The 27,119-nt window shown below is 40.3% G+C and overlaps 1 protein-coding gene across 30 annotated transcripts in view; it reads left to right on the plus strand.

Annotated features, from left to right (window-relative positions):
• RAPGEF4 (Rap guanine nucleotide exchange factor 4) overlaps nt 1–27,119 on the plus strand; it is a 317,576-nt gene that overhangs the window by 208,683 nt on the left and 81,774 nt on the right. For 19 of the 30 annotated variants that reach the window (NR_164739.1, XM_047443030.1, NM_001375864.1 and 16 more), the window contains 4 exons: nt 16,760–16,813; nt 17,122–17,228; nt 21,562–21,683; nt 23,261–23,444. Coding sequence is in view for 27 of the 30 variants with exons in the window: in XM_047443030.1 (XP_047298986.1) it covers nt 16,760–16,813; nt 17,122–17,228; nt 21,562–21,683; nt 23,261–23,444 (467 nt within the window). In the remaining 3 variants the exon portion in view is untranslated. The remainder of the gene's footprint in view (nt 1–16,759; nt 16,814–17,121; nt 17,229–21,561; nt 21,684–23,260; nt 23,445–27,119) is intronic. The other 11 variants (NR_164740.1, NR_164741.1, XM_006712205.4 and 8 more) reach the window with 1 other exon arrangement.

Below are 27,119 nucleotides of genomic sequence, written 5' to 3' on the forward strand. Positions count from 1 at the left end.
TGCAAACAGTCAGTCACCTAAGGCATTTTACTTATGAAATTTTAAAATAAAAACACTTAATACATAGATATTAAATCACATGGAACAGGTTTTCCTCACTTCTAGCCAAACACACGGGAACATCTTAGGCTGCCTTCTGCTCCGTCCTTCCTTCTGTTCTTGGTAAATGCACCCTTGGTAAATGCAGGCTGCCAGTCTGCATCCTGGGAGGAGCCTCACTGTAGAAAAAAAGAAGGAAACTGACAGGTCTCAATAATCCCTTTAGGTTTATGCGATAAGACAGTCATGTATTGAAAGTTCTGTCTTTGTTTGGAAGAGATTTGCTTTAAAATGCAGCCCACCATTTTGAAAGTCCTAAGGGGCAGAAAGCAGAGATTTGTAGTGTTTCCATGTTAGGTAGAGATAGAGGCAAGAAAACAGGTAAGCAGTGGAGTCCTCTTATTATCTTGGGCAAGTGCCCAGGGTGAGCCTGTGTCCTAGCACAGCGAGTCATGACTGACTACCTTCCCACACTTCGGCTGTTTCTGTTTCATGGCTGCAAAACCCAACACTTCCAGAATCTGGAGCCTCACATAAGGGAAGCAGATGGGATTGAGATACTTGGAGATTTCTCTCAAAACAGGCTGATCTTAGAGTGATTAACCCCAGTCTGACTGAAAGCTTTAATCAAGGGGCTGTTGTAGCTGTGTCATCTTCAGCTGAACATTTCCCCTTTCTCGAAGAGATACTGTGAAAATCTGTCCTGAGGGTGAGCTACAATCCTCGTCGTACTTCCAAAAAAAATTATGTCCACAGTTTAAGTTCCTAGTCAATAAAAGAACACAAGAACATTTGATTCCTTCTCATTGTACTTGCAGATGTTGCAAGTATGTCTAAACCTTTCAAGTTACTTTGAATAAAAAAACTGTGACCTCCAGGTAGAAATGCCAGGTTTCTAAAGTATGCGTGAGCCTCCATCAGCTCATTATTGTGGGTTTTTTTTTCTTCTTATACACATTCTTGGAAATTAGAAAAATACAGAAAGGGGAAGGGAGGAAAATATGAGTGAAATCAAATTTTAGAACTTAATATATCATGCTACTTATTTCTTTGGCCTTTTAGAATACTGTTGGCATATCTAATTGAAACCATCATCTGTACTAGGGCAACTTGATGATAAAAGAAAACAAAACTATGTTTAGGGAACCTGGTTTATGAACCTGATCTGAAATGAACTTGATATTTTATGTAGTATGCTACTTTTCTGATTTGCTTCCATATTTTATATGGTATGCTTTTAGGACTTTGATCATGTTTGTTTTGATGAGCCTTGCAAAGGCTTAAAAGGTTTCTTGAAAACATCAATAGGTTTTTGCTATTCCAGGAATTTTGCCAAACCTAGATCAAATATACTACTGCCCTCAGGTTTCTGAGTCCTTAAAGGTTATCAGAATTATTTGTTTGTATATTCTTGTCCTGTATTTGTACTAAAATTATGTTTATTGTAGCTTTTGCCTACTAGATTGTTTGAGGTAGAAAAAAGTCTTTTACAATTTTCAATCAATACAGATAAATACGCTCACATGCAGAGGACTATACAAAAGTCAATCGAGTGCATTATTTTTAATTCAAAGTGTAGGACAAAGACCTTTTTTTCATGGTAATTATTTTACCTTTCCCAACTGGGAGTTACTATGCTATTAAAATAATGGCCTAAGGCAGTTTACATAGCATGCATTTAAATATTAAGAGAATCTATTTGTGTTTTTCTGTTGGACATTTTTGTCTTAATTGATCTATTTCTTCCACATTAATATGTATTAGTCTTAATAAAGACACTGGCTATGTTCAAGTGGCCAAAGATAGACCACTTTTCTAAGAGTTTATTCAGAAGAAATATCTCATCCAAAGTTACCTTCAATGCAAGCTTCACAATTTGACAATGTGCATTTGGAACCATAATCCCTGGCCTGGGTTTTCTACTTCAGGGAATTGATTCTGAGAAGATAATTCCAAATATGAGTGGGTAAGGGGAACTTTTGGCCTAAGTTTATAGCATATTAATACTACTAGCAAATCATTAAAAACTTAAAGGCACATTGACAAAAAAAATGTTAAATTATGCTGTATACATTTAAAGGAATTTTGATGGTTACAAAGAGTTTATAGCAACATGTAAAATTGCTTATGATTTAGCATTATGTAAAAAGGAAAGATACAAAATTTTATATAAAGTATGATTACACTTCAGTTAAAAATAAAACAAAACCCACACTTAGAAACAGGGGCTGAATATTAATATTCCAAAATATTAACACAATTATCTTTGACTGGTTGGTTTTGGAAGATTAAACTTTTTTATACTTTCCAATAAGCATGCATTATATGTAATGGAAAAATAGGAAAAGGTAGAAACCTATACCTGAGTATATGCCTTTACTACAATTGATAATCTGATTCTCTGTATCTATTCTTAACAATGGTGAATTTTTATCATCACATATACTGTCTTCCTACACTTTCTCTCACCTCCTCCCAACTCCAGCTGTAGGCTACAGCCAGACTAGGGGACTCACAATGCCTTAAACTCCCGTCTGTGTGACTTTGGCTCCAGCCTGCAATTCCATCTGCTCTCTCACTATCAAGCCCTGTTCATCCTAAAGACCCTGTTCAAATCCCACCTCCTCTGGGAAGATTCCTTGAACCACCCTGGACAACTGTTGCTCTTCCCTTCTTCCCCCAACACAAACCTTCTGACTCTATAAAATACTTGTGTATATGTAAAACGGTTCCACCGGATGTGCCTTTCATCATTTTGGGCCAGCCAACAGAGGAGGCATGGGCATCCCTCTGACCTTGAGAAGCCCCACCTGCTGATTTATCAGTGCTGACACTGACAGGTGACAAGTGGGTAACGACTACCTATAAAACTGTATGCATTTTTCTGACTGTTCATTACCTTAACTTAAAAAGTCAACTGTAGAGATTCTGCAACATGTATCATTAAATGTGCTTCACTTATTCTGAATTTAATACATTGCCTAAACGTATTTGTGAAAATTTCTGAGACTTGACATTCAGCTTGTACCTCCAGAAGCCTCTGGTTGTCTATTGACAACTGTGTGTTGTTAAGACTCAAATCATTGGGCTTCCTAAGGGTTAAATCTAGGAAGAATGTGATCATGTTATATTTGCAATGAAATATGTGAATAAATAGGATACATTAATATTTTATTCCATGATCTGCTAGGAAAATATATGCTTTGGCAGGTACAGCTAGTATTTAAATAAAATAGCTGTAAAACATTTAATAACATATGGACTTCAATACTTTTTTTGTTTTGATTTTTCCTGTGTTTACATACTTTTGAGGGTGTTGGTGGTGTTTTACGTAGTAGTAGATAGTTGACATTTGCAATCAGTATTCTTAGACATTTCCAGAATCGCTGAAGGAATGAATATTACTAAAAATGCTGCATGCTCTGCTAGGCTCACTGTCTAGCCAGGTAACCTCCTGCTGAAGACTCCCCTCTGTGGAGGTCGGTGGTGGTAACATTTTTTTTCTGGGTGTCTTTCATGCATACAAGCATATATGCATTCTCTTTTTTCCTTCGAGTCATTCCTAAAGGAAAATTGCTGCATGTTGGGCTGTAGATCAGGATTACATATGAGTAAGTGCTACTCAAATGTTTTTATAAACTTCAAAATTCCAAGGTTTCCTTTACTTTTTTGTATGACTCATCTGTATAAGAGAGGGTTGGTAAGTACTTTCTTAAATTTTTTTTGATAAGAAGTTCTAAATCAAGCTTTTTCTTCTGAGTTTTCATTAAAGAATATATATACATAGAATATACATGTAAAAAAAAGTGCACACATCATTTAGGTCAGTACATTTTCACAAATGCAGTCATATAAACAGCATTTAGATCAAGAAACAGAATGTCACCACCACCCCAGAAGCCTACCTCATGTTTCCTTCTAGCCACTCCCCACTATCCTGCCTTCCAAGGGTATAGTAATCTGTTTTTATGCTTTATATCAGTGAAATCATCTGGTGTATACCTTTTGTATCCAGCTTCTCTCATTCAGCATTCGGTTTGTGAGATTTATCCACATTGTTGCATGCAGGTGTGAATTGTTTTCTCTCATTCCATTATGGGACTACATGATGTATTGTTCATTCTGTTGGTGGTGGGCTATGGTGAATAGCACTGCTCTGAACATTTTAGTATATGTCTTTTAGTGAATGTATGTACAATATTTTTGTTGGGCTTTTATGTGGCAGTAGATTTCTGAGGTGTTAGGAATGTGCTTGTTCAGGTTTATGTTCTATATATGGACTTCCAGAAGTCCATTTACCTCTGAAATTATAAGCACAATTTTAGATATATGTATGTGCATACCATAACTTCTAGGTAATTCTTAGAAGTGTCCCAAAAACAGTCAGAAATACTTATCAAAACAACGAAGCCTCAAAACTGGTTTTGTGTCTATCTAGGGAAAAATAAGAGGAAGTCAAGATGGTGGAGAAGTATGTTTTCAGGATCCAAGACAGTCTGTTTTCTAGAACTTCCTTGATCTAAAGGAAATATAAAGGTGTCCACTTGAAATTAATGTGTTTTCCCATGGAATACTATGCAGCCATAAAAAAGAATGAGATCCTGTCTTTTGCAGGAACATGGTTGGAGCTGGAGGCCATCATCCTTAGCAAACTAATGCAGGAACAGAAAACCAAATACTGCATGCTCTCACTTTAAGTGGAAGCTAAATGATGAGAATACATGGACCCACAGAGAGGCACAACACACACTGGGGCCTATTGTAGGGTAGAGGGTAGGAGGAGGGAGACGATCAGGAACAATAACTAATGGGTACTGGGCTTAATACTTGGGTGATTAAATCCTCTGTACAACAAACTCCCATGACACAAGTTTACCTATATAACAAACCTGCATATGTACCCCTGAACTTAAAAGTTTTTAAAAAGAAAGAAATTAATATATCTTCTGTCCAACCTAAAATACCTTAGTGCAGATTTGAACTGAAGGGAAATGTTATTCCTAGGCAGGAAAAAGCAAAAGTAAAATAGTTCACAAATTAATTTCCAACATCCAGTAAACTTAGCCTTTTCATATCTAACCATGAAGAGCAAAACTGGAATTTCAGAAATGAAAAGAGGAAAAATTCTTTTCATGCCACTTCCAGCTAAAAACTCCTCAGAGATTTCTCTACATATTAATCAAATAAATATTTAATGAACAATCTGTATGCACAAAGCACCGCAGGGATTCTGAGATAACAAAGACACAATTTTTTAAGGACTTCATGTAGTACTTGGAGAAACAGATATATCAATAACTGTGGTATAAGCAATGAAATATTTACTGTAATGGAGATTCAGGAAATGCAGAAAGGTCCTGAGGGTGCACTCAGGATATGACTGGTGTCTGGCGGAAATATATCCCATAGATCCCTCAAAATCAAGAAAATCAGGAATACCCTAACCCGATCAATAATCTCCCTTTCAGTTGTTTCATCTGATGCATTGATTATGAATCTTCAAAGACCAAGGATGAGAAAAGTCACCTGTAGTGTGCTATATTTTTTAAAGCAGTTTCTATAGCTTCTCAGATTGTTTCAGTAGGTGTGTCTCTAATTGAGCCAATCTCATTTTTAAACATCTTGTAACCCAAACCTAGGATTATAATTAACTTAGTATCATTTACCAGAATAGTGTCCTTTGAACTCTGACAAATCAGATGAGCACAACAGATGACATTCTCAAATGTCCATGAAATAAACTGATGTTTGCACAGGTATTTTTATTCAAACTAGAATTACATAACATGGTAAATCATTATATGTTATTATTTATAGGGTGTTATTGTAAGTTTGTTACTGTGACATAGTTTTAAGGATGTATCTACTGTATGCCCAATGGGCTTGAGAAAATACTTCCAAAGTTTTGAGAAATGGAAACTTGCCTTTCTATCAGGGTATCTGAGATAGCTGTAATCTTGTTAGATGTTATACACTGTAAATATGCATGCTTGTAATATTTATAAATTTGTTCTCTATACTTAGGTTTTAACATCCCAGGTTAGTAGACATTTCTTCTGCTTTTCTGGTGGGGAGAGAATGCTAACTTTGATTGGGATTTTTCAAACTTTAGAAATCTGGCCTTCCTGAACACAATTAAAGCCCAAGCTTGTGACCCAAACTCTGCCATCCTTTACAGAATCCAATTCCTTGATGAGGGCGGTAGGGGAGGGGCTGGGTTTCTGGGGTCCAATGTGTGCACTTTGGGAGTCTCAGTGGTACCCAGTGGCGGGGGCCGTGGGGCTTGGCCAAGGTGACCCTGTTCTGCCTCAAGTAGTTAGAATAAGGATAAGGATTGATCCATTCAGCAAATACTGAAATCACGCTATTGAGATTTAAATTCACATGTAAACATTTTCCAATACTAATTTCATAAATTATTATTAAATTTCATAAAAATGGAGTGTGTTTTTTTCCTGATTCTCTTAGGAGGGTAATGTAAGGATTATGTTGTGTTTTTATGTATTCTTGTGTTTTTATCTATTCTTATGAAATGTTTATATAATGAATTTGGTTGAGATAGTTTATTTGTAATTTAGAAAGTTTGAAGTGTGTTATTTGTGAATATTAAGTATATTACTCAAATACTCCTAAAGGCCAAATGCATTTTCTTTAATAAATTATAAGTATTTGATTTTCCTGTAAGGTACTTGAGTATTCCAAAAATAAGGACAATTGTGATTGCACAATAATTCCTTTAACTGGAAAACATATTGGCTTATTTAGATAACATAAATGTTGTTAGAATGATGACCTTATGATTATATTGACTAGATCCAATCTTTAGAAATGCTCACATGTTAGTAAGGATTATGAAGTTATGGATCCATAGGGTTCTACTGATACTCATCCAATTCTTTGATGCTCAAAGTGTGGTTCCCACACCAGCAGCATCAACATCACTTGGCAGAAATGAAGAATCTTAGGTAACATCTCAGACCAACATAACCAAAATCTGCATTTTAATGAGATCCCCATGGGCTTCATGCAGTCATTAAAATTTGCAAAGCACTGATTTTGTGCATCATTTTATCAGACACAAAACCCAGTCCGTTTAAAAAAACAAAGGACTAGGAAGAGGGGAATTACTTAGTATTCCTCTCTGTCAGTAAGTTTCTACTCAATTGCAACTCATTGAATCTGATTCTTCACACCACAGTGCAGTGGAAACACCCAATCAGTTTGCTCCCAACATCCCTTCATATACCTGAACACATAAGTTACTCTCAGTTTTCTCTTTGGGCACCTACAATGAAGTCAGCTAGAATAAATGAATCAATGAAGAAATTCTTCCATTCATTCAATAAATCCTTGAGTAGTTCTGTATGCCAAGAGCTGGGGTAGAACAGTGAGCAAAACAAGGTTCTTGTCTTCATGCAGCTAACATTTCAGTACAGTAAACAGGTAAGAAACGAACATGAATATCCAGTGTGATAAATGCTATAGCGAGAGGGGTAAAGAGTGCCAGATATGGGGCAGGGATACGATATCCTATAGAATGGACAGAGCAGGCCTCTCCAAGAAGGTGTGTTTGAGCAGAGACCTGAAAGAAGTGAGGGTGTGAGCCATGGGGCTGTCTGGGAAGAGTGCATCCAGGCAAAAGGAAGAGAGGGTGTGGCCTGAGCAGAGGGCTAGAGAGCAGAGATAAGATCAGAGGTTGCAAGGAGCCAGACAGTTACACTGTAAACTATAGAGTTTGGCTTTCACTGGGAGTGGGAAGAGAAGCCATTGGAGGATTTGGGGCAACATGATCTGATCTATGTTTTTATAGGATCATGCGGCTATGGGGTTGATGATGTTGGGGCAGGGATGGCAGGGGATGGAAGCATACACACCTTCTAGGACAGGATCATGATCTCTAGACAAGGGATAACCAAGGCTTGGATAAGGCACAAGTGGCTATGGAGCACTTGAAATGTAGCTAATGAAATTTAGGAACAGAATTTAAAATTTTTAATTTAAATGAAAATTCCTGCCAGGCATGGTAATTTACACAATCATAGCTCACTGCAACCTCAAACTACTGGGCTCAAGTGATCCTCCTGCTTCAGTCTCTCAAGTAGCTAGGACTGCAGGCATGTGCCACCACACCAGGCTATTTTTTTTTAAATTAGAGATTATAAAGGGAAATGTCATAGTGTTCCAGCCCTTTTGTAATAAGTGCCAGTCCATGAAAGTTGTAAGAATTGAACCATGTCTTCAAAATCTTAACATTTGTTTTATTTCCAAAAAGCACTCAACACACTATTCCCAGGTTTGGACTTTGTTGTCAGAATTTCTCGTATTGGAAACAAGGGTGAATGATGAGGCCAAGGCTTAGATTTGTAAAAGGAGGAGGGAACAGTGGTTGAAGACTCTTTTTCAGAGTTTATGTTTCCATAGAAGTCACAGTTGTAAGGGGAGACACACCGTAATGGGCAGTGGCTTCTGTGGAATATTATGGTTGGCTTGTGTACATCTCTTAGCTTCTACTACTCAAATGCAGATTTCATAGTAATATGTTGGTATTGCCATTATAAGAAAATCTAGGCTCGATCAAGCCAATTTGTAAGGAAAAAATGAACTACTTTGTAAGATCTAAAAGAGAACCATTCTTACTGGTAAGAACAGGGACCTCTCTAAAGTTACCATTTTATTTTTTGCCTCTAAATATCTGACTTAGAAGTGTCTAACAGATATAGATATACCTCCTAGAAAGCAAACACTCAGAAGATCCTGTATGTTAAAAGAAAGATTACTATCTAATTGAAGCTGCCTCTCTCCACTAGAAGAATTCAGAAACAATCTTACATTGTAAGTTAGGGTTTGACAGAATCATTCTAAAAACATGCCATCTTGCAGCACTGTGTTAGGGTATGTTGCGGAGAAACTTGAACCATTTGCTAGCACCTGCTAAGAGCAGTACTCCAGAACAGTTGACAGGGGGGGTCCAGGCAGCCTGTTTCCTGGAAGCGCTTCCTTCGTCCGGTTTTACAGACTCACCATGCAGTCTTCTGTATTCTTCAGTCTCTTCTTACTGTCAGATACAAATAGTCAGACTGCAGCCTGAGACCACACTGTAGTCTTCAGTGCCCCTGATTTATGAGCCACTTAAAAAATATATATATAATAGCTATCTATTATAGATATTTTACATTTATATAATATACAATCTTTTATATCTATTATATATTATATCTATTATTTATTTTATATGTAATAGTTCTCTCTATATAATTCTATATATATAATAGTTCTCTATATATATCTCTATATATAGATATCTCATGATCTCTATATATGTATAGAGAGAATTATATATAAATATGTTATATAATAAATATAAAAAATAACTGTTATATATTTATATATGTAATATATAGTCTCAGTTATTTGTTATAATATATGTAAAACCAACCAAATAACTCTCTAGAGAGAGACAGACAGAGAGAGAGTATATTTCAACTCAGTGAAATATACACATGAAATAATCCCCTTCCCCCACTGACCACTATTAACTGTGTTCTCTCTGGTACTTAGCAACCATAAAAACACCTCAGTCTTAATCCATAAATGTTTTGTCACTTTGGGCCCTTAAAATGTTATTTCAGCTATTAAAGATTAGTCATGTACATGTTTTAAATGTTCAGCTCTTGTTGGAGCTGAATCCCTGAGGAGCCTGGACTGGTGGTCCCAGCATTCGGTGGGGTGGGGGTGTGAGGGTGAGATCTGTGTCTCCCATCCCACCTGTCTTTACTTGCACTTCTCTGCTACTAGTGTATGAGGGAGAGAGAAAGAAGACATTTATTCTTTTGACTGGTCAAGACAAATTTTTCCCTTCAGGAGACGACTGGTGGGCTAGAGTGGCTACAGTCAGAGAACCTTACCCCATGAGATAAGACACTCCTAAAGTCTTTTCCCTAGAGAGTCTGCCTTTATTATGGTGAATGCTCTGGGTGTATTTCACAATGATGATGCTTTCCTTCTCCTTGCCAGAGCCACAAGGAGACCCTTTTTTGGCTCTTCATGAGGAGCTGAAGTAGGTAAAACTGGTGGGGTTGAAGTAGGTAAAACTCACATAGTGTGGGTGCCCAGCTGAAAACGCCCCATCCCCAGGAGTTTCTCACTGTCAAGCTAATCTGCATTCAGCCTCCAGCAATTAATCAGAACTACCATCTAAGTATTCTTACCAGTTTGTGGTTTCCAGGTGAGCGAATCTCTCAATCAGGACTCTGGATTTTCCTGTCTCTCCAGATTTCTGGGTGGCAGTTTGCTTTGCAACCTCAATTCTCTGAGGAGCCCAAGAGCACTCATTATTTTCACTTTTTTCTTGGCCATAAGCGACAACTTTCAAGCTCTTTACAAGAGAAAAGCTGAAACTGGAAATCTCTAAGCCAATTTTGAACTTAGGGGAAAAGACTTGGGGAGGAAAAAGAAGCCTTCAAATGGAAGCCGAAGAAGTCTCTAGATGATTTTTCCATTATTTCACAAATGGAAAAACTTACAGAGTTAATTCAGAGTAGTGAAATCTGCCTATGAGTCTGACTTAGTCCTTATTTTAATTTCATCTGGGCGGCCCCAAAGAGTGATGACATTGATGATAACTATTACAAGAATGAGACATACATTTCAAAGATCTTAGTTATATTATTCCAAAATGCCAAAGCAAGGGAATATAGCTCCTAAAAGTATATCATTTTCACTAAAAAACTGAATACTGCTCTCTACCTCCTAGAAATGTCCTCAGCTGAAATAAGAAAAGGGGGATTTGAAATCCAAAATGTTGCAGCATTTATTAGATTCATATTATCTTGTAATTGTTTAACCCGTAGAAGTTTGGCTTTTTCAACAAGACCAAGAGCCCATTTTGGCCAGGTACCTTATCAGAGTCTCCTTCTTTAGCCTCGCACACTGCTCTGCACACAACAGACCTTCATTAAATCCTTGAATCAGATTGGATGTGGACTTGCCTGGCTTTTTACCGCACTGGTTTGGCAGGAGTTGTGTCCCAATCTTGCTTGTCATTCTTGTCTCTTGGTTTAAAATGCTGTGCTTTGCAAAAGGCTTCTTTGAGCAAGCACTTGAGGAAAAAGAATTACCCCCTTTCAAAAGGGTCTGAATATGGTCTTTCGTGAGGCCTATTACAGTGCCTTATACCTCATTATAATCTACTGGGGAGTTATTGTGCATCTTGTAATGGAGGCTAAATTCATATTTTTCATTCACCTGATTAGTATTTATGTATTGGCTCTGGTGCCAAAAGGAATATTTTCCGTCTCTGTTTCTCCTTTTCAGTAGTAATATGAACATAATACAAGGCAGTAGAAAGAGCATCCCCTTTCCAGAAACAAACAAAAATCAATTACAGTCAGTCCTGAGGGAAGTCTTTCGTGGAGAAAGCCAAGAAAAGCAGAAAGAAAGCTGAATGCCTCTGCCTTTATCTGTCCCCCCTGCCTCGCGGTTTTAGGATCACATTGTCACAGCCCCATTTGGATTCTTTCATGCTCAGGTAGGGAGGAAGAATTTTTATCAACACATGATTGATGTGTCAAAATCTAGAAAATTTCATTGGAGAGGGGTCCATGCCTTTCGGGGCTCATTTGTGATACGTGTTTTCTGGCTATAGGGCCAAACATGGGGCTCTAGGAAGCAAACCGAGCAGGCCAAATGCAGCCCCTACTCTGTGCCGTCCCGCTGTCCTCCTGCCTAGCCTAGCGCTCAGCAGGAAGAGTATCCGGGAGGATATGGTGTAGGGAGCGAGTGAGAGGGCTGGGTGGCAGCTGTGGCAGCCCTGCCCAGCCCTGTGGCCACTGCGACATCTTCTGTATGGGTCCTGGGGCTGCTGCTCTCGGATCAACTCTTTGCCCTTTGGTTCTGCCTTTGGGCTGGTTTTCTTTCTTTGACTCTCACGGATACTGCAGTGCTGCTTCTTTCCCTCTTCCATTTAACCTAATCATTTATAAAATGAAATTCTTTTCCATGTTTCTCTGACTTCTGGCTGGAGAGAGATCGGATGCGGGAAGCTCTTGCCTCCCTCTCAGCAGTGGCCCCGAGGCATCTCTAGTAGTGGCCATACCTCTAGGGTTCTGGGACACCCTCCAGGGTTCCAGCTCCCAGCAGGACACCTGGCTCAGGCCCTGGTCATGCTTCCTTCTCCCTCTGTCCCTTTGCTTGAGGGCCTCCTGCTTTGCCAATATTGGGACTACCTCTCACAGTGATCTATTTGGCTTCTGAAATTTTCCTCCCCTGGTGCAACACTTCCCGCATTAAATTCCCTTGTGGTAAATACAATGAATGGTTTCCATCTCCTGGCTGCACTGGACTGCTACTCCTCTCCCTGGTATATTTGTCTTAGCCCTGATAGGACAGTTCCTCAATGCTAAATGTTGTTTTATTGTTACAAAGTTTCTTTTTCTTTTTTTTTTTTTTTGAGATGGAATCTCACTCTGTCGCCCAGGCTGGAGTGCAGTGGCACGATCTCAGCTCACTGCAACCTCCGCCTCCCGGGTTCACGCCATTCTCCTGCCTCAGCCTCCCAAGTAGCTGGGACTACAGGTGCCCGCCACCACGCCCGGCTAATTTTTTTGTATTTTTAGTAGAGACGGGGTTTCACCGTGTTACCCAGGTTGGTCTCGATCTCCTGACCTCGTGATCTGCCCGCCTCAGCCTCCCAAAGTGCCGGGATTACAGGCGTGAGCCACTGCGCCTGGCCCACAAAGTTGCTTTTTAAAAAGTTAATTCAGACCAAGCATGATGCAGGGTGCTCATATGTAATCTCAGTAGGTCACTGTGAATATTTATTGCTGGAAATTCATCAGATCAAGTCTGATACCTGATGACCTAGAAGAGCTTGGATGCAATTTTCTCAATAACTTGAATCAAACAGAACACAGACTCTTCCAAAGGGTGGGCCAAGATGTCTCTAGAAGAAAACTGCAGGTGGATGGGGTCATTGTACCTGCAGTGGAGACACTGGAGTGAAATAGACCTGGAGTCTACTCTAAGCAATTCCAGTTATTGGCTGTGTGAGCACAGGCAAGTCCCTAGGTGTCTCTGGTCTTAGCTGTCTCCATAAACAATGGGAGTCAGAATATAGCAAGGAGATACATGTAAAGGAGCATGTGTGCACAGCATGTATAAACCTGCCTCTAGAGCTGGCTTGCTTTCTTTGTTTCTCACAAATGTCACCATGCTTTTGTCTTTCCTTCTCCTGTTTAACCTAAGAATTCTTAAAATGACATTCTTTCTCTTATTTTTCTACAGTGCAGCTAAGGTAAAATTCTCAAAAGAAACTTTACTTGAAAACCAAGGGAAACCAAAAAGGAAGTAAATAATCTGACACAAAGGCAATAAAGTTACACTTGTAATGCAGGGGTCTCTGAACAGGCATTGGCCAGTGACTATTTCCAGGGATGTGGCCTGCCTGTCAGGCTTGCCCTGTCTCAGAGCATTTGGCTTCTAAGTACCAACATAGTTCTGAGGATGTGGTATATTGCCTAACTGAATACAGTGTCCCTTTCAAAGACAAATTCCTATTCCCTCAAAATAAAACCTTCCCTGCTTTCCCCTGCATGTGTTCCTTGGAGATTTTATTTAAATAAAGGGACCATCCCCTCCTCAAGGCATCCTTCATTCATCATGTTGCCCCTAAACCTAAAATCTTTGAGCCGGAGAAGGATCTGAGGATTCTGCCTTTCAACAGATGAAATACCCTCTTGGTCCTGGAACTGGTACTAGGATTACTAGCTAAAAGACAACCTTGTGTACATTTACCTCTTTAGAAGTTGCAAATCAAAGAAAAAGTTCTGGTTGAAGCTTGATACTTCTTTGCTTTAGTAACACTTTCTTTTCAGGGTTCCAAGGAACCAGAAAGGGAGCTGTCCAACAAAATAAAGTAGCCTAGAGACCACTTGTTAGCATTTTGTTAAAATATAGCCATTGCTTTAGAAACAAATTAAAACATGCAATCTTCAAATAATGTTTCATTGCACCTACCAAAGAATAAACACTTATCACCAGTCCAGAAGCATGGGCATCTTCTTGACCTTGGTTCTGGCAGCCTCTCAAAGATCACTGCAAAGGAAAGTAGGTTTTTCATTGGAAAGAAAAGTTGAGCTCAGAAACAAATCCCATACCCATCTACTCTAGACCACACCTATCTGTACCTCTTTACTCTAAGACAAGAAGAAGAAATGGATTTCTACTATTATTTTCAAGAAACCAGAGGTCTTTACAATTTGATACAGTCAGGTGCAGTCCTAGACTGTAAACCAACCTGTGTAATGAAAAGAGGTGAGAGGCTTAAGAACCTGGGAACTCACAACTTAGAAATATGTAGCGTGTTTTAACTGCACGTTTTCAGGGTCCCAGTGTATGATGGTCTCACGTGTTTGAACACTTCTCTGGGTGATATACTATCAAAGAATTCTTGTCTTCTTTGAGGTGTTAGGTGCAAGTACAGGGACTCTGTGAGCTCATAGTCTCTCTCCATCAGTACGTCTGCCATAACAGAGCATGGACTATTTCAGGGCAAAATCAGTCCCTGTTTAAAGCAACTGTTGAATTGGACTAGAGTGATACTTCTTGATCTGTGCTGGTAAACAGTATGCTGTTAAAATACTATAATATTGCTTGACATCTGTGCTACAGTGATTTCAAGAGGGGAAAAAAGTCTGCTAGATGCCAGCGAGGTGATGAAAATGTTTAAATAAGTTAGTTCAGTGAGATTTCAGCCATTCTAAATACATCTGTATCTTATCTATGCTGTTATCTTAAAGTTTAGTATTCTTTTCTCTTTTTCCTTAATTCTATTATAAATCAAAAGCATCAACCCACTTGAAACTTATTGTTAATTTAAAAAGGTATATATTTATGCATGTATGTTTGTATTTAGCTACATACAATATTATATATTGGCCTTTATTTACCTCATTTTTTATTAGGACTAGAGGGAAAACTTATCAATTTATTTTCACTGTAATGGCTTCTATTTGCAAACAGTAGGGTTTTTAGTACAAAGCGTAATAATCTCTACATCAGTTTTCCATGACTGCTATAACAAATTACCACAAATGCAGTGGTTAAAAAACACCTTAATAACCTAACAGTGCTATTGTTTAGAAGTCTGAAATGGGTCTCACTGGGCTCACAATAAGGCGTCAGCAGGGCTGCGTTCATCTGGAAGTTCTAGGGGAAATCTCTTTTGTTTGTTTTTCTCCTTTTCCATCTTCTGGAGGCTGCTCTCATTCCTTGGCCTTTGGCCTCTTTAATCTTCAAAGCCAGTTCTGACTTCTCTGCTTCCCTCTTCCATATTTTAAGCCCCCTTGTGATTACCTTTGGCCCAGCTAGAAACACCAGGATGATCTCCTTGGTTTGATGCTTAACTTAATCATATTTTTGGAGTCCCTTTTGCCGTGTAACCTGACATGTTTGAAGGTTCTAGGGATGAGGACATAAACTTTTTTTTTAATCAGGGGGAGTATTATTCTGCCTACCACAATCTCATAAGAAATAAATCTCCCATCTTTTCTTACCTTCTGGAAGTGGCATAAATGGCATTGTATTGGTGCTTCTGTCACTCCCCTTGACTGGATACATTTTTCTCCACCGTTTGGAATATCATTACCAGATTATTTCAGAGCAAGAAAACGAAGGGGTTTCTGTAAGACTAGAGGGCTTAATGTGTAGCTGTGTGGAAGTAATTTTTCTGGGATTACATTCAATACCTCCATCTGAAGAATGTTGTTAATAGGCCAGGTGCTGTGGCTCATGCCTATAATCCCAGCACTTTGGGAGGCCAAGGCAGGAGGGTCCCTTGAGGCCAGGAGTGCGAGACCAGCCTGGGCAACATATCGAGACCTCATCTCTACAGACAAAAATTAACCGGGTATGGTGGTGCAAGCCTGTAGTCCTAGGTGCTTGGGAAGCTGAGGTGGGAGAATCTCTTGAGCCTGGGAGTTCAAGGCTTTGAAGCTGCAGTGAGCTAGGATCACACCACTGCACTCCAGCCTGGGCAACAGAGCAAGACCCCATCTATTTAAAAACTAGAATGTAGATAATCATATGCACTTTCTCTAGAGCCTAGAGCTGATCTGACAGTCACAGAATCCTGAACTCTGTACACTTTCTTCTACTTAGTAGAAGAAAGAGAAGTGTACTAACTGCCTCAGTGGGCTCTAGGAGCTTGAGTGCATAGAACCGCCAAGAAGTCGCATTTAAAAATTAAAACTTTATTTCTAAAAATACAAATTGCAGAAAAAGAATCTTAACTACACAAGAGAGAGACGAAATAGCTCATTTCCATCCCATATCAATACTTTCTTCCCACCCCTGGAGACAGGTCATTTTAATCTCCATTTATGTTTATCTTGTTTTGCTTTTTCCTCTGCTCTGATGTTTGTTAGGCTCTGAATAGATATTTATTTCCTCTTCTCATGAAGCCTACAAACATCTAATCATTCCTATCTATTTGGTTTTTTCATTTGTAATAATTTATATTTAAATGTTGGCAAATTGAATGGTCTAATTTTGCCCTTTGAATGCCTATGCATTCAAGTTCTTTAGGCAGAATTTATCTCTTATTTTTTTAAATTATATTTTGAGTTTTATAAAAAATGGATGTTTCTTATTATCCCCCAACCCATAATTTTCTTCAGTGAACTTTTTGTTTAATTTTCTTTTGCTTTAACATTTTATTTTTCAGACACCTCTCATTGAACCTCACGTTCCTCTTCGTCCTGCTAACACCATTACCAAGGTAATGGGATGTAGGTGGGTTGATGAGCCATTGAGCTAGCTTCTTAAGTACCTCTGGAGGTGGTCCATATGTCAGGGGATCACATCAGGAAGCCTCTGATACATTTTCTAGAGACAGGAAATATTCAGTGTTTCAGTTCTCAACATAAACCAGTGACATATCACACAAGTGAACAAAGTAAAGCACTGAGTGAGTTATGTTTTCCAAGCCAGAGTCAGATTGGAAAGTGGTTTCAGGATTTGTTTGGTTTGTTTTCCTTCTATAAACACTTCTTTCTCCTCCCCTCCTTCCACCTGATTACAATCCAGGTCCCTTCAGAGAAGATCCTCAGAGCTGGAAAAATTTTACGAAATGCCATTCTCTCTCGAGCACCTCACATGATAAGAGATAGAAAATACCACCTAAAGACATACAGGTATGTGTGCTAATTCTAAAGGCTGTGCCCCGCTCATATTCATGTTTAGTGAAAATGGAACAAAAATGCTTCTCCCTGTTTTCCATGTGGGCGCAGCCCATTTTGTAATGCCTTCAGGTTCTGGAAGGTTAGGCTTGTCTTACATCTCAGCTTAACTGCAGTTGTTTAATTATCCTTAATATTCCTAGCACCTCCTAAACTAAGTTGCTTGGATATTGGTTTAGTTGTGATGAACAAAGAGAAGAAAATTTTTGTAATTTCTTTTTGCTAGTGACTTTTAGGAAGCCTACTAGATTTAGATCACATTCAACCAACATTGACTGCACACTTATTTATACTCAAAGACCTGTACCAGGTCCCTTTTGATATATTAGCTCATTTCATTCACATAACACTGCTAGACATGTAGACCATTTTTCAGATAACAAAACTGAGGCTTGGAGAAATTAGTTTTGCTTGTCCAAATCACAAGTCTAGTGAGTGGCAGGGCCAGGATTTAAACCAAGGTTGGTTGATTTCCAGATTCAGTGATCATTTCATTCAGTCAGTCATTGATTTATTCACAAGTTTAGCACTTACTGTGTGCCAGGCACTATTGTGTTTCAAGCTCTAAGAATACAGCAGTGAACAAAATATGCAAAGTCCTTTACAGAGCTTGTTTTCTAATGTAGGATTCCATCGTAGCATGCATACAGTAGGATACACAACTCTGTATCACATATATATTCATATAGAATATGGATTCCTAATTATAGTTGTCACTGGAGTTAAGAAATGACAGAGATAAAGGCAGAGATTTCATGGTTAGCTGAACCTTCTGGGATGACTGAACCATGGTGGGCCAGTTAAGAACTCGAGTCTAATCCCTAACTTTTGATTTTCAGAATTCAGCAACTTTTGATCAATTCAGCAAGTGTTGAGGAACTAGAATTGCCAATATGTGGCACACAGACCTTCACTCTGTCTTCCCAAACCCAGGGCTCAGACATGACTGCCCTCTTTCAGCAATCAGTGAGACTCTCTTTCCCATTTAGCCTAGACATGACCTCAGAACCCATCAGCATTGGCATGAGTCAAAACCCATTTGATTCACAGGAACCAAATTCATAAGACACACTGAAAAACTAGAATACAAATTTCAAAGTTACCATGAAGGATGCATGTCTTCTACCAACTATGATAGAATCTACAAAGGTTCTGGTTCAGGAATTTGAGCATAAATAAGTGCTCAATAAATGTTAGTTGAATGTGATCTAGATCTAGTATCTACAGGGTTCACCTTAAAGCAAACCTACTCAAGGACAGAGATAGAAAAATATATTGCAAATTCTTCCTCTTCTGATTATTTTTTCTATACTCCATGCAAACTAATACTCTTCTGCTTGCATTTGGCATGAATATGTTAGAAGACCAAAATTGACAGTGTATTACATTTAGATTGGCCTCTTGTTGACCGAATTTTGGAAATGAGATGAGACTTGAGAAAGTGCCTTAGTGTCATCAGTAGCATATTCCACTTAAGACACATTCCATCTCTTAGGACAGATTGATTACTTAGCCCTTTTTATGTTGATATTAACTAACTACTATTTTGGATGTTTACATTTGTAAGTCCTGTTCTCCAACACCAGAAGTTGATTCCTTTTCTAGTCTGTCGACCTGTATTAGTCTGTTTTCACACTGCTATAAAGAACTATCTGAGACTGGGTAATTTTTGAAGAAAAATGGTTTCATTGACTCACAGTTCCACAGGCTTAACAGGAAGCATGACTAAGAGGCCTCAGGAAACCTACAATCATGGCAGAGGGCAAAGGGGAAGCAGGCACATCATACCATGGCAGAGCAGGAGAGATAGAGAAGGGGGTGGTGCCACACACTATTAAATGATCAGATCTCATGAGAACTCACTCACTATCACAAGAAAAGCAAAAGGGGAAAATTTGCCCCCGTGATCCAATCACCTCCCACCAGGCCCTTCCCCTGAAACATGGAAATTACAATTTGAGATGAGATTTGTGGGGGACACAAAGCCAAACCATATCAGGCCCCCTACATACTGCTATAATTTTGAGAAAAGTAAAGGTTAAAATAAATAAATCAATGTGTCATATGTCTTCAGAGAGAGTTCAACCTTTTAAATTCATTCAGGGGATCTCAAAGATCTCATATGGTTAAAGGAACTTTTTCTTTTCAAAATTGTATTACTTTTTTCCATAATTTAAGATGTGATTGTGCTTTGCCAAGTATTGACTTGCATTAGGGAAAATTTATTAAAATATGTCATGTTTGATGATAGATAATGGAAACTAGAAGTTAGAAACCATAATCTCTTTTGTGCTCCATTGTACTAAGATTTTAAACCCCTGAAATATAGGTGTTATGTCTGTTCCATGCCCTGTGACACAAATTAATGACCTATTGGGAATAACCACAGGACTCAACTGGAAGCCAGAAGCATGATTTCTTTTTTCTGCAGGACAGTCTGAGTTCCTTGTCCCAGATCTTATACTTTCCAGTTCCATCCTCTCTCTCCCTCCTGCTTCTCACTCCATTATATTATTGCCACAGTATTCGGGGGCTGAAGCCTCTCCTGGTGCAGCATAACCCCCCAAAATAACTATACTAGCGGTCTGCTGTCAATTCTAAATCGTCTAGGGATCATTAATGGAAAGGATACCTGTGATTCCATCAGCTGCAAGTAGCACAACTGTGTGTCTTTGTTCAGTATTCTGACTGCAAGATTCTTAAACCCTTTGTAAGGACTCATCAGACGCTCTGGGATCATCTCGAGTCTGTGTACTCTTTTTTTGTAAAGGTAATCACTGAATTAAAAGCCAAATGAAATTGATTTTATGTATTTTTACATGATTTTTACGATTAATCAATTCTCAAATTAGGAAAGAAATATAATGGAAGGTCTTATGTTTGGTTCAGAATGATTTATAAGTAGGTGACTGTGCCCACTGAAGCTCTAATGTGCGGGTATAGACTGTAATAAGGGCAGTCCTGGAAATATAATGGCCTTCTCAGTACACCCTCCCTGTGAAATATTCTGAAGTCAGGGTCAACCCCAAATCAAGGAATCCCACAATTCCTCTGATAGATTTCAGAGGTCTAAGATTAAAATTATTACAACTGGAAAAGGCTTTAGAGGCCATCATTTGCTCCTCCTATTTTTTTTTTTTTTTTTTTTTTTACGGCAAAGAAAGTGAGAACCAGAGAGTTGAAACCATGTGGCCAAAGTCACATAGCTAAGTAGCAGACCTAGTTCTGTATCTCATGTCTCCCGCCACTTCAAGATTGTTCCCAAAGTGGCACAGAACCATGAGTCTCCTCCAATTTCAACTAGAGAGGAGCTCCTTAGCCCGTGCCCCAGAGGTGGTGCTGTGCTTAGTATGAGAAGGGAGGCCACCAGTGATTCAGTCCCAGCTGCAGGCAGCCAGCTGCTCTGTGACTCCCTGCCTTGTTCCATCATCCCTTGGGATTGAGCCATCACTAGGACTTCAAGATTCTATTTCCTCTCTTGAACCATCATGTTGTGGATACCTGCCCCCTTCTCTCACCCCATGGGGAATTTCTGTATTCCCAAATATGTGAGTGTATATACTTATGCATTTCCTAACTAATGTATGCAGTTTGCTTATCCAGACCAACTCACCACAGAAGGGCATCTTGGGGACTAATGTGTGAATATACAGGAAGCCAGAAAGCATGTGGAGCTCTTCAGATGACAGGCTCTGGAGAAGTGCTAATGCTCATTACACAGAACTTTTTCAAAGAGATTTGCATTGCTAATTGCTTGTTTCTCCCAACACCCCTCCAAGGAAGATCAGTAGTATTACTTGAAAATATAAAGTGCTATATAATTTTGCACTTATACGGTGCCTTTCATAGCACCTCTGAGTGCCTCATAAACATTAACTCATTCGGCACGAGACTCAGGTGGAGAGAGTCAGTATGTATTTTGCTTTGCCTCCATCTTGCACTGAGATTTTCTGGGACCGGCTCACTAGGACAGTTTCTGTTCCTCTGATTAGCTTGCCAGACAATCTCCCCCTCTAGCGGCCCCCTGGTCTCCCCTGGTGCTACAAGTTGTAATGCTTTCATTTAACCAGCCTTGCTTTAAAGTTCTCTCATGAGCTGAGTGGCTTTTTTGGCTTGTATTAGCATTTGAGAACCTGAAGCTACCGCGTGTGGTGCTTTGTTTGCCATGAGACCTCTTCTGGTAGGAGATCATTAAGCCCTTTGGTAGGTTTTCCTCTCAAAAGCCATCTCCCATCCTCTATCTGAAAAGGGGTGACTTCCCCACCCTTTCTGTCTCACCTCTCCTTAGACAATGCTGTGTGGGAACTGAACTGGTGGACTGGATGATGCAGCAGACACCATGTGTTCACTCCCGGACTCAAGCTGTTGGCATGTGGCAAGTCCTGTTAGAAGATGGTGTTCTCAACCACGGTAAGATGAGCCCCAGTCCCTGGAAACCTCTCAAGAAATGCTAAGTGCATTTCCCTGGGTAAGTAGTTGCTGAACTCTTGAATGGGCAAGAAAGAATTACGATCCCTTTAGGGACCTGCAGAGCTAGCATCTTCATTTAGCAATACAAATGCAGCAAGTAGATGCTATTGATTGCTATGTTCCACCATTGTACCTTCCTAACTTGGGAGAATGTATGAAAGGAAAATGAAATTGCAGCCCGAGTGCATCAGTTCCAATTATGTTTATTAGTTTGCATTCACGGTTCATTGATAGCGTGATTATACTCTGAGCAGTGCATAGCAATCCTGATGCAGGGGCAGAATGAAGAGCAGTGAAGTGTGTGGCTGGGCTGATGACATGAAAGTAAGTAATGAATTCGGAAGCTGCCTTTTAATTGTGCCGCTGTCTGGGAGAGCCAATTTGTATACCCACAGGATGACCATATTTAAAATCAAGAATGTGCTCTGCAATTGTGGCTCTTGATAACTGCAGGGGCTGTAATTGAACAGAGTAGCTCTTCAGGACTGGTGTGTAACTCTGGCCAAACTCTTATGCCATTTGTTTAAGACACTTCCAAACAGACAAAATATTAAAAACATTCATTTCATTTACCAACACCTGGGAATCTAGTAATGGTTTTGCCAGCGTTTCTCATACTTTAATGTGCATACATGTCACCTGGGACTCTTGTTAAAGTGCAGATTCTGATGTAGCTCGTCTGGAATGGACTTAGAGTCTGTATTTCCAACAAGTTCCCAGATGCTGCTGCTGCTGCTCCTCCAGGAATCGCCCTTTGAGCAGCAAGGGATCTACTGCTTGTCTTTACCTTTTGAGAGTATTGATGCTCCATCCTGAAAAGGGGCTCAAGGCTGTAAGACATGTACATGAGGGATTCTGAGCCACGTTCATTGTCTTTGTCCTACCGAGATTTAAATCCTGTTTAAAGGAACAAGAGGAAAAAACTTTAAGACATCAGATTTGGAAGAAAATTACCACAAAATCCTTCTAGCAGTATATGATCTAGAAACCTGGTCTGGTCAGCTTTGTTCAAACAACTAATTTTATACTAACATTTTTTTCCAGAGTGCAGACAGTACAGTTGATAAACAGTACATATAGAAAGAATAACATAAATTCTGATCCTGACAAGGCAGATTGTTTTCAAAGCCTGTACTTTCCAAAGCTGTGACAGAACATGACCTGGCAGTTGGTTCCTTTCCTGTTTGGGACACAGGTCCCACATCCTAGAAAATATCAGGAAGACGATTTCTGCAGGTCAAAGTGTTCATCTGAGAAATGCTGGCAGGTCCTCAAAGGGAGTCCCACAGAGGCCGAGGAGATGGGTGGGTCAGAGAGGGCTGTGGTGTGCATGACTGCAGCCCCGAGGTCATGTCTTCCAGCTGCACAGTCTGGGCAGGGCAGAGTGAGAAGGGCGAGGAGGCTCCCGGCTTTGCTGCCACTTGGCCCTCCTGCCTGACACTCTGCATTTGTTTCTAGTAAACGGAGCTGTGAGGCCGAGGTGCTGCAGCTGACACGTGCTTCCATGTTTCCCATAGTGGACCAGGAGCACCATTTCCAAGACAAATATTTATTCTATCGATTTCTGGATGATGAGCACGAGGATGCCCCTTTGCCTACTGAGGAGGAGAAGAAGGAGTGTGATGAGGAGCTCCAGGACACCATGCTGCTGCTGTCACAGATGGGCCCCGACGCCCACATGAGGATGATCCTTCGCAAACCGTGAGTGAGAGCTCGTGGCTCACCCCTCCAGGTCCCAAGGCCGCCTAGTGCATAGACATACCATGAGGAGAGACACAAGGCTGCTCTCAAAAGCCCTGGCCATCCCCCATGGAACAAAAGGGAGCAGCTGAAGGGTGCCACAGCAGTGCTTGTCTCTGTTATTTTAATTTTTGTGTTTGATCCAGATGGCTCCATTTTCCATTTGCATGAGTTAAAGCTGTAGAGGTTGTCAGTAGTTGGCTCCGGCTGTCAAAACTGAGTCCCCATATTAAATGACCTTTGGTCAATGACAAACAGAAACTGCTCTGTTTCTATGCCAGCCTGTGGCAGCACCTTTCTCCCTAATGCAACAGGACAGAGGTCATCAGGACCATAGCCTTCATGCCTAGGCCTGCATTCATTTGTTCCTTCACTCATTCAGCACATGCTCTTACCCACCTCTGAGGCTTCTGTTCTTCAGCTTAAAGCTCATTCTTCTGAGCACACCACAACTGCATTACCCCTGTCAAGGCCCCCATTGAGCCACTGAGGCAGTCTCTCCCTTCTGTCTCAGCTGAACCCACCTTACCTTCAGGAGCAGGCCACCACCTGCAATTGTGGACTCTGAAATGTTTAATCAGATCCACTCAGAAAGAATGTATTATTAAGCCCCCGTTTGATGCAGGGCACTCCACAAATTGCTATGGGGCATATAAAGAAGCATACATGTGGTCCTGATCCTCAGGGAAACCTTTTCAGTTAGCGGTGACTTGGCCCTTGCATCCGAAACCACCACACAGGCTTGTGTTTTTTGGCTGGAAATGAAGACGCCCTCTGCCCCACAGCCAGCGTCGGCCAGCTGTGGATGTCAGCTCTGAGTCATGTTTGGCCGACCTTGGTGTATTAGTCTTGTATTAGACAAGGGCATTACATGTTACATGTCCTGGATGTCTGCTGGGTGCTTTCCAAGAGTGAAGTGTCCCTCAGGCCAGCCTCCCCAGAGGCTGCCCCTCAGACCAACCCACAGTAGCCTCTCTGAAGGCACTTTAATTTCCCTTCCCCAGGATTCTTTGACTTGCCCTTACTCAGGGTTGTCCCCTTTGTCAAAACTTTCTCATGGGTCTGACTCTCCCACACCATGTGTTTCAAAGGCCTCCCCTCATCCCAGCAGATACCATCATCCTTAACTCTAGAACCACACTCTTCAGCTCTGTAAGCCTCAAAACCCTTTCTTCACATAAAAAGATGAACAGGAAAATCCAAAACATCAAACAAAGCTAGAGCTTCACTGACATAAGCAGGAGTGGGGTCCAAGAAACCTGCCCAGCCAATGTATGCTTTCTCTGCCCTGAAGGATCATAGGAGAGCATGGCTGAGGGGGCACAAGAGAATCCCTGGGGCCTGGGGAACTCAGATGAACACCACCATTTTAAGCCATGTTTTCTTTCTTGTCCCCTCTTGTCCCACTGTCCCTCCTGCATATTTCCTCATCATTTCCTGGGTCCATCCCCTTTTTGCTGTCCTCCTTGCTGCCACCTGCATCCAAGCCAACATATGCAGTGGTTCTGAATCAAGGTGGGACAGCCCCCTAAGGGCTGTTGTCAAAGCACAGGAGGGGGCCCACTGCTAGCACTCACTGGGCAGTGGCTAGGACCAAGGGCTGCCAAACACACTGCAGTACCTAGGAACCCAACACAATAAAGAGCTGTCCTGAGAACAATGCCCGTGTGGAGAAATATTGCAGTCAACCATGAGTTTCTTAAAGGCAAAGACAGATCTCATTTTACTACATTTGTTCATTTATTGAGTACCTACATTGTTCTAGATACTATGTTAGGTGCTAAGGCATTAAGGTAAACATTGAACAAGAAGGCTTCTCCTCCTTGGAGTTTTCTGTCTAGGGCAGAGGATTAAGCAACTACTTATGCAAGCAATCATTTAATCACAGCTGCATTACATGCTATGGAGGAAGATGTAGTGTGTGTTGGCACAGCCTAATGTGGAGGAGGGTTTAACCTGGTGTGGAACTTAGTAAGGCCGTATCCCTAGCTCTGTGCATTACACCACATAAGCCATCAGTAAACCTTTGCTGAGTGAGTGAATGAATGAATGAATGAATGGAAGTGTGAATACACAGTCCCAGCTAATGTTCCCTCAGCTCTTACTTGCTTCAAGGGAGGCAAAAATGCCATCTGATTCACAAATGTTTTTGAAATGGCTCCTGCCCTTGGGGAGTTTATAATTCAGTGGGAGAGGAATCCCCAAATTAGATTAAGATCCAACAATCATCAATTGAGTGCCTGCTGTATGCTAGGAACATTCATGCTAATTGTTTGATTTAGCCTTCTCAAGAGACATGAGAGCTTGTTTTCATGAGTCACCTTGGGAGAAATGGGAGTCGCTGCTTGTGCTTCCTTTTATTGTCCATACACCATTGAATCGCATGATCCCTGGCAGCCCAGATTCTTCACAGAATATTACATTCCAAAACTGACACTCTTCCATTATATCGCTAGTTGTTAAAGTACAGGTTTTACAAATATTCCAAGATACATGATTTCAGGTGGCCTTGGGATTTTCCCATCTTCTTAGGTTTTTCGAAACTTTGCAAACGTTGGAATTGGGCTGGCACTTCTGGAACTCTTCAGTTTTCTTTCTGCTGAAATAACAGCTCCCGAGAGATGGGAAAGTGAAAAATAAGGAATCTAATTTTGGGAGACAGATATTCCAACTCTACATGTACATACACACACACACCCTTTTTTTTTTTTTTTGATCTGCTAATAATCTTTGGAGCTACTACTTTATTTAAGTGGAAAGAAAACAAGCTTAGTTGATCAAGAATTGCCAGTATCACTACTGTCCTTGAAGGGACCAACCAAGCACTTCACTCCTGGAAACTGAGGGCATGTTCAGAGGTCCTGGAAATGTTGACTTTCTACTGCCGAAAGTGCTAAGTCATTAAGAAATGTGGAGGCATGAGATGCATTGGCTTCATACTGACCAGGGCAGGACCCCCAACTTTTAAACTCAGCACGGCTGCATTTTATAATAGTCACCACTGCCAGAGAGGTTGCAGAACTCTGATAATTACTGGGAAAGAAATAACACAATATTCTTTGATGAGAAGATTACTTTGAGAATTTGATTGTATAATGAAGATGTTGCTTTGAAAGGTACTTCCTATTGTTCTGAATCTGAGACTTGCTAGCAAAAAAAAAAAGTGTCACTTGTTTTGACAGGCTACTTAGAAAAATTCTCTGTTTATTACATTAACTGCAGCATTTTAACTGTCAAACTATGAAAGAATGTTCTGTAGTTTAAAAAACAGAATAGAGCTTCAGGGGAAATTTTTTGGCACACTCTTGTTGCTATTGGTATTGAAAAAAAACACATACATTCTGCATGTGAAATTAGCTTTTTATGTGGTGGCAGACAGAGTGACTCACAATGCCCGTCCTGGTTTCGCAGGTGCAGACCTGGATGGCATTTGGGGGCAAGTGCTACAGAACGATGACAGTTTGACGGTGCTGTTGTTGTAGCTCTGAGACAGGGCCATCAAACACTGAATGAGCTCTCCAAGCTTATTGTTTTGATTTTGCTTTGTTTATAAATCTAAAAACAAGAGGTTGCCCTATAGCAAGTAGATATAATGGGTACTCTTACCAGTAGAAATGTGCATTTTGGCTTTCTTTG

This window comes from Homo sapiens, chromosome 2, assembly GCF_000001405.40.
Source record: "Homo sapiens chromosome 2, GRCh38.p14 Primary Assembly".
In the NCBI taxonomy this organism is placed as follows: domain Eukaryota; kingdom Metazoa; phylum Chordata; class Mammalia; order Primates; family Hominidae; genus Homo; species Homo sapiens.